This window comes from Homo sapiens, chromosome 14 (assembly GCF_000001405.40).
Source record: "Homo sapiens chromosome 14, GRCh38.p14 Primary Assembly".
Classification (NCBI taxonomy): domain Eukaryota; kingdom Metazoa; phylum Chordata; class Mammalia; order Primates; family Hominidae; genus Homo; species Homo sapiens.
The window spans coordinates 76,171,566-76,184,831 of NC_000014.9; the positions used below are offsets into that span (position 1 = coordinate 76,171,566).

The 13,266-nt window shown below is 39.9% G+C and overlaps 1 protein-coding gene across 21 annotated transcripts in view; it reads left to right on the forward strand.

Annotated features, from left to right (window-relative positions):
- Positions 1-13,266, forward strand: part of GPATCH2L (G-patch domain containing 2 like) — an 83,634-nt gene that overhangs the window by 19,644 nt on the left and 50,724 nt on the right. For 8 of the 21 annotated variants that reach the window (XM_047431559.1, XM_017021427.2, NM_017926.4 and 5 more), the window contains 5 exons: positions 278-454; positions 1,981-2,060; positions 5,058-5,125; positions 6,423-6,477; positions 9,199-9,284. In XM_047431559.1, the coding sequence (XP_047287515.1) occupies positions 278-454; positions 1,981-2,060; positions 5,058-5,125; positions 6,423-6,477; positions 9,199-9,284 (466 nt within the window). Of the gene's footprint in view, positions 1-277; positions 3,956-5,057; positions 5,126-6,326; positions 8,458-9,198; positions 9,285-13,266 lie in introns of those variants that run through there. The other 13 variants (XR_007064029.1, XM_017021428.2, XM_047431558.1 and 10 more) reach the window with 7 other exon arrangements.

A 13,266-nucleotide genomic window follows, 5' to 3' on the forward strand; every position in this document is an offset into this window, starting at 1 on the left:
GAACAAGAATCCATCCCCAAAAAAATAAAAAAATAGCCAGGCATAGTGGCATGAGCCTGTGGTTCCAGCCACTTGGGAGGCTGAGATGGGAGGATTGCCTGAACATGTGATTACGCCACTGCATTCCAGCCTGGGTGACAGAGCAAGACTCTGTCTCAAAAAGGAAAAAAAAAAAAAAGGATGATCAAAACTATGGCACTAAGAAATCATCCCTCCCATTTGTTTTTCTCAGACCTTGTTTAAAATTCTAGCTTATGATATGATGTCTTTACTTTAGGTGATGACGAACAGAGTGATTGGTTCTATGAAGGAGAATGTGTCCCAGGATTCACTGTCCCTAATCTTCTGCCCAAGTGGGCTCCTGATCATTGTTCTGAAGTAGAAAGAATGGATTCTGGATTGGATAAATTTTCAGATTCCACATTCCTTTTACCTTCTCGGCCAGCTCAAAGAGGTGAGTTCTGAGGAGACCAAGAACTTAATGCTTTTATGGTTCTCCTTGGGCAGAGCAATCACCCCCTAGCAAGCATACTCATGCCTTCAATCACACATTAACTATCTGAATTTTGGAGCTAGCTCAAGGATTTTCTAGAGGAGTCAAAGTAAGTCTCAAAGCTTAAGGTTCTCTCCATTCCTTCCTAAACTAATCCATGGAAACTCCTGGGACATATATATTATCAGGAGATTCCTTCAGCTTGCCATTGCCGTTTGTGCCAGATTTAGTGACAGCTGCTTATCCTGATGTGAAACTAAGAGGTTATTGAGTATCGGATTTTGGAAGAGAACAGATTTCAATAAGAACATTCACATACATATTCTTATTTTCAGTAAGAGTATTCACATATAATGGTGTTTTTAAAACGGATGCTTTTAAAATAATTTAAGTAGTTTTATTTTAATGACCCTATTGGGACTTTAACACAAATATGTTTCCTTTTCCCTTTGCTTTTTCTTCAATTATGATGTAGCAAAGTGGGTGGAAAGAACCTAGGACAGAGAGATGGAAATGTGGTGCTAATACTCTGATACTGTCTACCAAGCTCTGTGATAGTCACTGCATTTTCCTGGGATGACAGGGTCATCACTTACGATATGTGACATTGGACAAAACCATTTCTTTTAGCACTATAAATTTATGATTCTAGGGTTCCCAGTAACCCATAATCAACCAGTTAATCAGTTGCCAAGAGTTTGTTGAACATCTGTGGGTGATCAGAATCACACTACGAGATGTAAACTTGTATTATGTAGGATTTTGTCATGGTGAATTTTTGTTTGTCATGGTGAATTTTTGTCATGGCGAACCAGCAGTTGGTGCTTGGTAAAGACTAGCTGAGGCACACATTGCTTTATTGAACATTTTGATGAACATTTCTAAAAGTTTCTAATGGACCACTTAAAATATATACAAACAAGCAAGAATAGTGAGAAGAAACTTAAAATGGCCTATAATCTCATATCCAGAGACAATCTCATTAATAACATTTTGGTGTGGTTTCCTCCAGTTGTTCTTTCCTTGTGTAGAACACATGCAGCAGTGAGAAAAATTGGGTTATCCGACACGTGCTATTTTCCCCATTATGTCATGAATTAGAATGTTTTTGACGTACAAACTAACATTTAATTTTAAATTAAAAATTATTAATAGTACCTTATGTTTGTGTGGTGTTTTCAGTTTATAAAGTCCCTTCTGCTTGCTATTTCATTGGGTCTTCAAAACAGCCCAGTAAGGTAGGACTGAGTGATTATCCCTCTTTTATAGATGGAGGATGCCTAGGTCAAAGGTAAATGGCATGCCTGTGATCATACTGCTAGTGACAAAGACCTGGGAATAATAAATCCTTGGCAAATAGCTCTGTGATGCTAGTTTAAAGGTCAATCTATTAAGATCCTGGGGGTAAAGCCTTCAGTGTACTAGAAACATAGGATTGCATATGGATTTTCTGCATTCGGTATCTGAGGCCTTCCTTCTTTTTTTAGGGTACCATACTCGCTTGAATCGTCTACCTGGAGCTGCAGCTCGATGCCTCAGAAAGGGGCGAAGAAGGCTGGTTGGGAAGGTGATACCTCTCACAGTTAGCTTGGCTCAGTGGGGAGATAATATTCCCTATGGGAGTTGTGTATCCTATTAACAATCAGAGGTGCTACAGAACTCCCTGAAGTTAATGGAGCCAACTGGAATGTGTTGGGAGTTTACAAGAGTGAACATTATGTAGAATGTGAATGGATATACAAATAAAAGATGAAACGTAATTCATATAGAAGTACTGACAAAAAAAAAAAACACTGTCATTACAGTGTCTATTGCCTGTAAACCTACAAGCCTGAGCTGTGTCTTCTGTAACTTTTGATTAATGTTATGTTATTATTGTGTAAGTTAAAATACTCTTGGCTTCTTTATGACTCCTCTTGAATTCATGAATGCATCTTTGTTCTTTCCTAATTTTGGTCTTTCATCCTAGAATTCATTAAAAAAAAAAAACAAAACTGTTACTGAGTTTCAAGAGCCCCTCCTTGGCCATGAGGGAGAACTATCTGCTGTTTATTCAGTTCTGCCTTTGCCAGGGATGGTACTAGGGACTCAGCTCATTTAATCCTTCCAGCAACCTACAAGGGCAAGCACCTTCAGCAGATGAGGAAAACTTAGGTTCGAAGAAGTTAAGGAATGTCTGATGTTACCCAGATAGGAATGGTAGAATAGAGATTTGAACCCAGGTCTACTTTTATCTTTTTACATTTTTATTGAATTTTATTTTTTACTCTACTTTGAGATTGAGGAATAAATTAAGACAGGGCTCATCCTCAGTCAGAGAAGATGGTGGTGGGCAAAGAATAAGGAAGGGAGAGGCATTGAGAGCATTAATTTGTTTGTTCACTTGGTAAGCATTTAGAATGCCTGCTAGGTGGCACAATATGTGCCACAGTCTGGCTTCCCTTAAGGGGATACTGTTTTATAGTCTGACCAGGGAACAGTTTTCTGAAGTTTTAAGCATGCAAAAGAAATGAGACTGTTTATTTCCAGACGAGCCCAAGATTCTTATTTCTTTTTATCTTTAAATTCAAGTTCAAATCTTTTTTTTTTTTTTGAGATGGAATCTCGCTCTGTGACCTAGGCTGGAATGCAATGGTGCGATCTCGGCTCACTGTAACTTCCTGCCTTCCAGGTTCAAGCAATTCTCCTGCCTCAGCCTCCCAAGTAGCTGGGATTACAGGCGCCCCACCATGCCTGGCTAATTTTTTTGTATTTTTAGTACAGATGGGGTTTTACCATGTTGGCTAGGCTGGTCTCAAACCCCTGACCTCAGGTGATCCACCCGCCTCGGCCTCCCAAAGTTCTGGGATTACAGGCATGAGCCACCGTGCCCGGCCTCAAGTTCAAATCTTGAATTAGAAGACATTTGATTATTGGAAAACTGATACCTTTCAAATTACTCATTTTACAGACAAAACGCTGCTTTTTCTGTTTTGGGAGCTTATTGTTAACAGGGATAGCTAGCAGAATAGCAGTACATGGGGTGGAAGAAGGAGAGGTTTTACTTTTATTGTTTAGGCTTGACAGATAATGTTCCCCCTGCCACCTGTGTTACTTTCTTTCAGCTCTTATAAAATAAGAGCCATCCACTTCCATGGAAACAAGTCACTTTATCTTGAAGGTTTCCCTTTAGCTTGCCTGGAAGGGAGTGAGGGCCTGTTGGATGTGCCTTTAATGATTTCAAATGAATAGGATAATATTTACTTGTTTAATTCATCTTCATCACCTTAAAGGGATATTTATCATTTCTAGAAGAGGTCACCGCTCTGCCCCCCTTCTTCCCCCTCCCCCATCTCTCTTCTGCTTTTCTAAATTGTAATCATAAATAATGAGTTTCATTCACAGCTCCCTGCCAGTGAGCTGCTAATTACACAAAGTACTGCTTGTAATTTACACAGTAATAAACTGTAAATTTAAACATTACGGCACTTTAAGTTAATAATTTTTCTGCTGTAACAAATAGCTCATTTTTCACCCATCTTTTCCCTTGGCCCCCCTACCATGTCTGTCTGTGACCAGGAGGCATAGCTATAAGAAATGCAGAACATGAAGAATATAGTATATGAAAACTTCTCATTTAACTCCACTACCGCCCGGACTCTGACCTCAGAGTAATTTTTCTACAGCCAGTTCTGCTGAAATGTGTAGCCTGATGTTTAGCACGGTCCACACACATAGATGAATATAGACACAAATGTGTTTGAAGAACAGCCTTGATGTTCTTGGCATTCACGCCCGTGACTTGTGTTCTCTCAACACAACAGTTACTCAGATGTGTGTTGGTATGCTTTCCCAGGTGCCATGGTAGGTAAGCATTGTGAATGTACTCAAGTTAAATGAAGAGTGAATTGCCGTTTTCCAATTTTTTGGAAATGGTTCGTTTCTGAACTCTTTGTGGTGTTATGGGTAAGCTTTTACACTATAATCTTGAGAACCCTGAATTTAGGAATCAATTTTATACAAATTTCTATTTTTATTTCATGAGATGATGTTTGAGGGACAAAGTACAGAGTAACAATTTTTGCAAGTCACAAAATTCTCTTGATGTATTTATATTTAGTCAGCAGATATTTACATTTTACCAGTGAGGATTTGGTAATGTCCCAGGATGAAGGCTGTTGGAACTATAATCAAATCACGTAGCTCTCTAGGAAGCTTGGTGTGTTGGCCTGTTAAAAATTGGCTACTGTTGAATTTTCTAAAAAAGGATTTTTACTCCTATATACTTCAGTAGTTACAGGAGGTATAGTACTTATTAAAATACCATATATGGTGAACAGTGTCTATGATGTATTTATAAAGACTTTTGGATCACTGGAGAATAATAAATGTAGGGTAACATGTAATACTTTTAAGATGGATTCCAATAAAAAGAAGTATAGTTGCTGTTTTATTTTAAGATTGACTTTTAACATGTGCCTTTTGAGGTTGCCTTAGCTGGCACAGTTATGGGAAAGATTGATATTGTACTTTATATGTTTGTTTCTGTGGTTGGATGATACTCTTGTCTGCCTTTTCTTTTTAGGAGACCAGCATAAACACTTTGGGGACTGAGAGGATAAGCCATATCATTAGTGACCCTCGGCAGAAAGAGTAAGTGCTTATGTATTTACTGGCTGTGCTAGTCTGCTCCTTGGAGGAGGAGGCAGAGGGGAGTTTTATGGAGCAACTTAGAAATCAGGCTTCAGAGTTCAAAGAGATCTTAAAGATTTGTACGTTGTAACAGTTAAATATGGCAACATCCTAAACCTGTGGCAGTGATTTTCTTTTCCTTTCTAGACTAGTTTCACTGTATTGTTTTTTTATACCTACAGATGCTGCATTAGTAGCCTCCAGTAAAGATGTTTATTTTAAACTAATTTTTCTGTCCCTAAATTTTTTTTTTTCCAAAATGGATGATTGCCTCTATCCTCCTATATTCTCTTCCCATTTTTAGACCTTTTCATAGGGAAATATCTGTTTTTTTGAGACAGGGTCTGGCTCTGACGCCCAGGCTGGAGTGCAGTGGCAGAGTCATGGCTCACTGCAACCTCTGCCTCCTAGGCTCAAGCAATCCTCCCACTTTGGCCTCTTGAGTAGTTGGGACTACAGGCGCATGCTGCTGCGCCTGTCTAATTTTTGTATTTTTTGTAGAGACAGAGTTTAGCCATGTTGTTCAGGCTGGTCTTGAACTCCTGGGCTCAAGCGATTTGCACACCTTGGCCTCCTAAAGTGTTGGGATTACAGGTGTGAGCCGCTGCGCCCAACCTGTGAAATATCTTTTTGTTCTAATTACTGTGGTGAGTGCTGTAGGAAGCCTGTATGTAGCTACAGGAAAATAATTCTGCCAATTCTTGTGACAGCCTTGTCCCCTAAAATGGTTGGTTCTTTCATATATCTTGTATGCATCATGGTCAGTACCCAGTTATGATCCTATACACATCCAACTCGGGCTAATTTTACATAGAAAATAAAGATGTGGGTGTGGTTTATGCCCTTCATGAGTTGAGACTCTTGTCACTGCACAGCTGAGAGATCATTGGTGTCACAGTGTAATCTTGGGTTTATTTCTGTTGTTCAGTCTTTTACATTCCATTACAAGCCTTTTTCCTTTGAAGAGGTTTTTTTTTGTTTTTGTTTTTGCAAAACATTCACATACATTTAATCTCTTTCTCCTCCTCTGATTACATCTTTTCTCTATTCCCTTCTTTGTCTTTACTTAATTATTCCAACATCTTATCTTCTTCTCCCTTCTGTAATTTTCCTATCACTTCTTTTATTGTTTTCTTTCCTGTTATTCTCTCCCTCTCTTTAGTTTCTGGTTACCATCAGCTGGGAAAAGAGAACGAAATCAGGTAAGATCATTTTTCTTTGTCATCTTTATTTTATCATTTGGTTTCCTTTTCTTTAGAAAGAATAAAGCGTTGGCTTCTGATTTTCCTCACATTTCTGCTTGTGCACATGAGGTAAGGTTTCCTCTTTCTTGTTATTTTGATTTTCTTGGAGAACCGTTTTCTAAGAGTATCCAACACTTACTGGTAAAAACTGCAGCTAATTCCTCTTTGTAGGTTCAACTGTGATCATTAGTTTCTTGTAGCATATATTTCATAGGAATCCTGTTTTTATTTTAGTTTTGAACTTTGCAGTAAGAAAGCAGAATGAATCTGATTTGCATATGGTTTAGTTCAACATCAGAATCCTGCGTTGAGAAGTACTATGTTGAAGCCTAAACGTATGGAGCAGAAGGTAGAGCTGCTTTGGGTGAAGTGGGGTCAAAGCCTTAGAGCAGTGGTCCCCAACCTTATGTCACCAGGAACCATTTTTGTAGAAGACAGTTTTTCCATGGACCCGGGTTGGGGGCGTGGTGAGGGGGGTGGTTTTGGGATGATTCAAATGCATTACATTTATTGTGTACTTTATTTCTGTTGTTATTACATTGTAATATATAATGAAATAATTATACAACTGGTCATAATGTAGCTTGTGCTCCTGCAACTACACAGTCCCACCTGGGGGTGATGGGAAACAATGACAGATCATCAGGCATTAGGCTTTCATAAGGTGTGCACAACCTAGGTCCCTCTCATGCTCGGTTCACAGTAGGGTTTGCACTCCTATAAGAATCTAATGTGGCTGTTGATCTGACAGGAGGTAGAGCTCAGGCGGTAATGCCCACGATGGGGAGCAGCTGCTTGCTGACAGCTCACCTCCTGCTGTGCGGCCCCGGGGTTGGGGACCCCTGCCTTAGAGCCTCTCCTTCTTAGTCTTTTCCCTGGCTACCCCCTGAGGGGCCCCTTGGCATATTTAGGCCCATGTGGAGGGCTCACAATTTAAAAATTAACTCACAGTGGTTATCGATATGTTTCTTTATGTGTGAAGCTTTGTGATTTTTTTGGAGGATTGCATTATCTTGGTGATTAGTTGTAAAATAGATGAACACTGACAGGTGAAAAGTTGTAGGCTTCCTGTTTGTTGTGGGTTTTTTTGTTTTTTTTTTTTAACAACTTAGTAGCTTACTGAGTTGATATACACGATCCACATTTTAGACTTGGAATCTTCATTATGAATTTGCTGTTTCAAAATGAACTAGAGTGGTAGAAGACATAACTGGTGTATATGTATGAGATGATTTTAGATGGCATATAGATGCCCAATTTTTAAGTTATGTATTATAGTGTACATTGGAAAAGATGTAATTATGGTATCAAGCCTGTTATTTCACGGAAATATAGTAAGGACAAAGCTGAGCAAAAATAATTGATATGAGGAAAAATAATAAGTAAACAGTAGTACAGGTTGTAGGCAGATAAGGAAAGTCATGAAGGTGGTATGTGAGAGACTGCAGTTTGGGGAACACTAAGCTAGAGCACTAATCATGTTTGCATCAGAGGATCCAAAGGCAGAAGGGGACCTGTGGCAGTCACCTGATCCAGATCCGTTATTTGCAAATGACGAACTGGAGATCTGTAAGATTCAAACTATTTGCCCAAAGTGATACAGCTAATAGAACCAAGATTGGAACCTCTGTGGCAGATAGAACAGTTGCTTAGTTTGTATTCTCATAAAACAAGTTTGAAGTTATCATTCCGGGTTCTTCCAGTCTTTGTATGTCAGAGGGTATTAAGTTCTAAACTTTTTAGAGAGGACTGTTATGTTGTGGGAAAAGTCCAAAGAAAGCTAGCAAACATAAAGTGAGGGATCTCCTTTGATCCTCACAGCCACCTTTTGAAGTCAAATAGATGTTTTGCAGATGAGAAACTGAAATTATACTCTGAAAGCAATATTTCATTTAGCCCTCATAATAACCCTGTAAAATAGGTAGGGCAGGCCTGGCACAGTGGCTCATGCTTGTAATCCCAGCACTTTGGGAGGCTGAGGCAGGTGGATCACCTGAGGTCAGGGGTTCGAGACCAGCCTGGCCAACATGGCGAAACCCTGTCTCTACTAAAAATACAAAAAAAAAAAAAAAATTAGCTGGGTGTGGTGGTAGGCGCCTGTAATCCCAGCTACTTGGGAGGCTGAGGCAGGAGAATTTTTTGAACTCGGGAGGTGGAGGTTGCAGTGAGCTGAGATCACACCACTGCACTCCAGCCTAGGTGATGGAGTGATTAGGTAAGACAGATAGTGATATATTCATTTAACAGATAAGGATAGTAAAGCTCAGAGGTTATGTAATTTTTAACACCCAGTATCTCAGTGGTAGATTGGAACTAAAAGGTGTTCTGATTCTTAGTCTAGTTCTCTTTCCACAATACTATGCTGCTGTTATGTGTCAACCGGTTATTCTTGGAAACATTTGCCAGGATAAGGAAATGAAAAGGTAATTTCATGCTAATCTTCTTGGGAACAAGGGCTGATACATAGTTGATAATCAGCAGGCACAAGTTCCTGTTATATCATGTGGAAAAAACTGTCTTCTGCCATTTAAGTGACTATTGTATGTCAGAAGTTTTTGAAAAATTGTTGTTTAATAAGGAATAGCTTTTTTTTTCCGAGGTGTGCTAGATCAGGTTTGGTACATTCATAGGCAAACTATGAAATATGTGTGACTTTACTGAACAGTGCCTGTGTTTGGTATAACAAGAGTTGGATAGTCAAAGGGGAAAAGTAATCAAATGTAGGTTACCCTTTAGGATCAGGTCCGTTTCATGTAAGCCTTACTAAAATAGTCTTATTCATTCCTGCAGTTCAATCCCCTGTCTCCCCTTTACTCCCTGGATGTTCTTGCCGATGCTTCTCACCGAAGGTGTTCACCAGCACACTGCTCTGCCAGGTAATTGTCTTTTAGTAGCGGTTATTTGCTTCTGGACAATACTATATTCCTTTCTATTACCCCTCAAATTATAGAGTATGCTTGTGTACAGTATCCAATTTGATCCTGACAATCTTTTGAGGTAAATAGATGTTTTACAGATGTAGAAACTGAGGCAGAGCAGTGAAGTATCTTTCCTGTGGTCCAAGGCTAGTATGTGATTAAGTCTCAACTTTGACCTAAGTCTTCTGGCTCATATTTCATTTTATTTCTGCTGCTAAAAGCCCCATCTTCAAACAACATTATTAATGTTCCTTGCCATGAGCCTGCAATACCCTGCATAATCTGACTTCTCCCTACATGTACAGCCTCCTTTCGTATAATTTTCTCCCTCTGTGGGAGAGAGATCCAGCAGTACTAGGGAGTTCTGTTTTGTTCTTCAAAAATTGCAGCAGTCCTTTCCTGCCGCTGAAACTTTGCACTTCTTCCCTTTGACTGGAAAACTGTCTTTGAGCTGCTGCTTGTCTCAGCTCAGGTGCCACCTCGTCAAGGAGGACCACTCAGACCATCCCGTCTAAGGGGCCACCTCCAGCACTTCCTGCTCGTTATCTGTTTGTTTCCTTTATGGCTCTATCACAGTCTGAATTGGATTTGCTTATTAGTTTATTTTAGTTGGTTTGGTTTTTCTTTTTTAATTTTTTTCTTTTTCACTTTATCCCTCAGTCTCTCCCACTAGAATATAAGCTTCAAAGTACTGGGATGTTGTCTTGTTCCCTGATAACTTCATAACACCTAACACAGTATCTGGGACTTGTTAGGCATTAACATATATTAGTCAAACGAGTGACTCCTTACAAATATAAATTCTTTTAGGTGACATGGGAAGTAAATATGGTTTTAATTGTAGCACCCCCTACAGGGCTGTTATGCAGAAAAGAGTAGCTAATAGGCTGGACCCTAGAAGTTGTACTGTTTCTGGTGGCACAAAGAATTTCTTTCCAAGGTTCTGATGACTCTTTTTTATTCCTAATAAGTTCTTAAATGGTTATGTTCATAGCTTTTGAGGTTCAGGCTGCACAAAGAAGTTACTTTCATGGATACAGTTAGAACTTCTACTATGGGCTATAATAATAAATTTTGCACCATAACCTACTGCCAGGTCTTTCTACTGAAGAAGTGGTATTTCTGTATGGAATGTCTTTTGAAAAGAGAGACCATCACAAATGGTGTTATTAAGAATGTTGAACTGCCGGGCGCGGTGGCTCACGCCTGTAATCCCAGCACTTTGGGAGGCCGAGGTGGGCGGATCATGAGGTCAGGAGATCGAGACCATCCTGGCTAACACGGTGAAAACCTGTCTCTACTAAAAATACAAAAAATTAGCCAGGTGTGCTGGCGGGTGCCTGTAGTCCCAGCTGCTCAGGAGCCTGAGGCAGGAGAATGGCGTGAACCCGGGAGGCGGAGCTTGCAGTGAGCTGAGATCGCGCCACTGCACTCCAGCCTGGGGGACAGAGCGAGACCCCGTCTCAGAAAAGAAAAAAAAAAAAAAAAAAAAAGAATGTTGAACCAGAGTGAGACCTTGTTTCTACAAAATTTTTTTTTTTTAAATCATTTGTGTCTGGTGATGTACACCTGTAGTCTCAGCTACTTGGGAGGCTGAGGTGGGAGGATCACTTGAGCTCAGGAGGTCAAGGTTGTAGTGAGCTGTGATGATGCCACTGCACTCTAGCCTGGATGACAGAGTGAGACCCTGTCTCAAAAAAAAAAAAAAAAAAAAAGAAAAGAATGTGGAAAATTGTGGAATGATATAAACTATTAGTAGTAAGGCCTTTCCTTCAGTAGCATGATGTTTATTCATCATTAATTCATTCAGCGTTTGCTGGAACCCTACTATGAGCCAGCTCTTTGTTTAGATACTGCCCTCAAGGAGCTTACATTCTCATGGGAAAGTCAGGTATGGAAGTTGACAACTACAATAAAGGTTTGAAAAAGCACAGAGGAGGGGCCCCTAATGTCAAGGCTCAGGGAGATCTTTTTAGAGGTGGTTGTGCTCAAGCTGTCATAGAAGACAACAGGATTTTAATCCATAGGAAAACAGTCCTTTAGCTTTTTGTCTTAATACCAAATAAAATAATGTCTGTGTATACTGTTTGGGAAAATGATTTGAGTAGCATGATATCATGTCAGAATGCTGAAAGTGGATTACTTTCCCTCCTCTCTTTACCTCTGCTACCTAGAGCTGTGCTGTGCTGAGATCAGTATTCGTACTTTTGTCAGGTTTCCTGTTTCCTTTAAAAGCCTTATCCTGTGGCTGGACTAGGCATCAGCTTCTTGTTTCTTTGTGTATCTCATTATCCATACCACTGTCTTCACTCTTTTGCCTGGCAGTGTTTGTGGCTGAACTTGGAAACCTGAGGAAGTCTCTACTATGCTTCTGGTATGCTCAGCTCTAGGGTAATATTGCTTATTGTTTTAGACCATTGCTGAAAGCAAAGGAAAGAGAATGTGGACAATCATGCATCGTCTTTGTCCTTACTTCTAGACGTCATACCCAGGGCAGTAGATACCAAGTGGGTTGCATACATGAAGGTTCTTTGGGAAAGGGAAAGAAAATTTTTAAACTTACATTTATTTATAGCAAAAAAATTATAGCAAAATTTTTTTTGTTTTAAATTATACATATGTGTCTAGTAGCACGTATTTATATTTTATGTATATGTACTACATACATAATTTTTTTTCAGATTTTTTACTCATGAGGGTGCACCTCAATAAAGCTTGGCAACCACTGCTTCATGGGAAATGATCAGCGCAAGTGACTTCTATGCAATTTTTAGAAAATGTGAATGATGACATACTGAGCTCTCAGGGCAACTGGTCACTCCTTTGTAATCGTTCCTCCCCAGCAAGGGGTTAGTGAAGATGGAACCGTCTAGCTCCAGTGTGGCAGACTGATGAGATTGGATTCAGAACTGGGCAGTAGGCTTTGCAAAGAGTGGATCATTTAGCAAAAGCCTGGCACCAAGGAGGAGTGTGAAGGAGTAGTGGCAGGGAAGAGGCAGGTGAATGACTATACTAAAAACTGTTTCCAGTGGAAATTGTGTCTTTTTCTTGTCCCATTTTATTTGTAGTAGGGAAACATTTCTTTCAAAGCACCTGGGCAGCATTGGAAATTTCACATGCATCATTAGCATGGTGTGTGTGTGTGTGTGTGTGTGTGTGTGTGTGTGTGTGTGTGGCGACAATGTTATCATTAGTGGTATAATTTTATTTTGCAAAGAGAGAAGTGTTTCCTGTTTTATCACAGCTTTCCCCGAGGAGGGCTGGTGTATTAATTTGCTGTATTGCCTCCTGGCTGTTCCCAGGCTGTTTTTCCTCTTCATCATGGAATTTTTAATGGCCCTACTGCCTCTTGGGAAGCATGTGAGGAAGAGTTCCTCAGGGAGTGCTTCCCTTTTTTCACATGCCTATAATTACTCTCCTTTAAGAGCACAAAGAGTTTGATAATCATGCCTGAACTATGAAGGTTCCCTCCTGTCAGGTTACTGAGCTGAGGCTGCTTCTTGCCTGGACACTGCCAATTCCATTCTCCTAAGCAAGAGCAAGGGCTTTTCAACAGTTTCCTCCCTGCTAGAACCATATGCCCTTCTGGTTCTCAGAATAGGTGGGGGCGGGGGGCATTGGGAGGATGGTGCATGACCTAAAATCCTCTCTTGTTTAATATTTCATTGCTATAAACAAATAAATAATTGGACCATAATATTAAAATAACATTTTATTGATGTAGCGTTATAATACAGCCCAGATGACAGGTGCAGTGGATGGGAGGGAGAGTTTTGTGGTCTTTGTACCATCTAATAGATTTGTGGATTTCAGGAATAGCACTCTGGAAATAGTTAACTTGGTGGTTTTCAACCCTGGCTGCAAGTTGGAATCACCTAAGAAGCTTTAAGAAAATATATCCGTGCTGGGCCCCACTTCCAGAGATTCTGATTTAATTGGT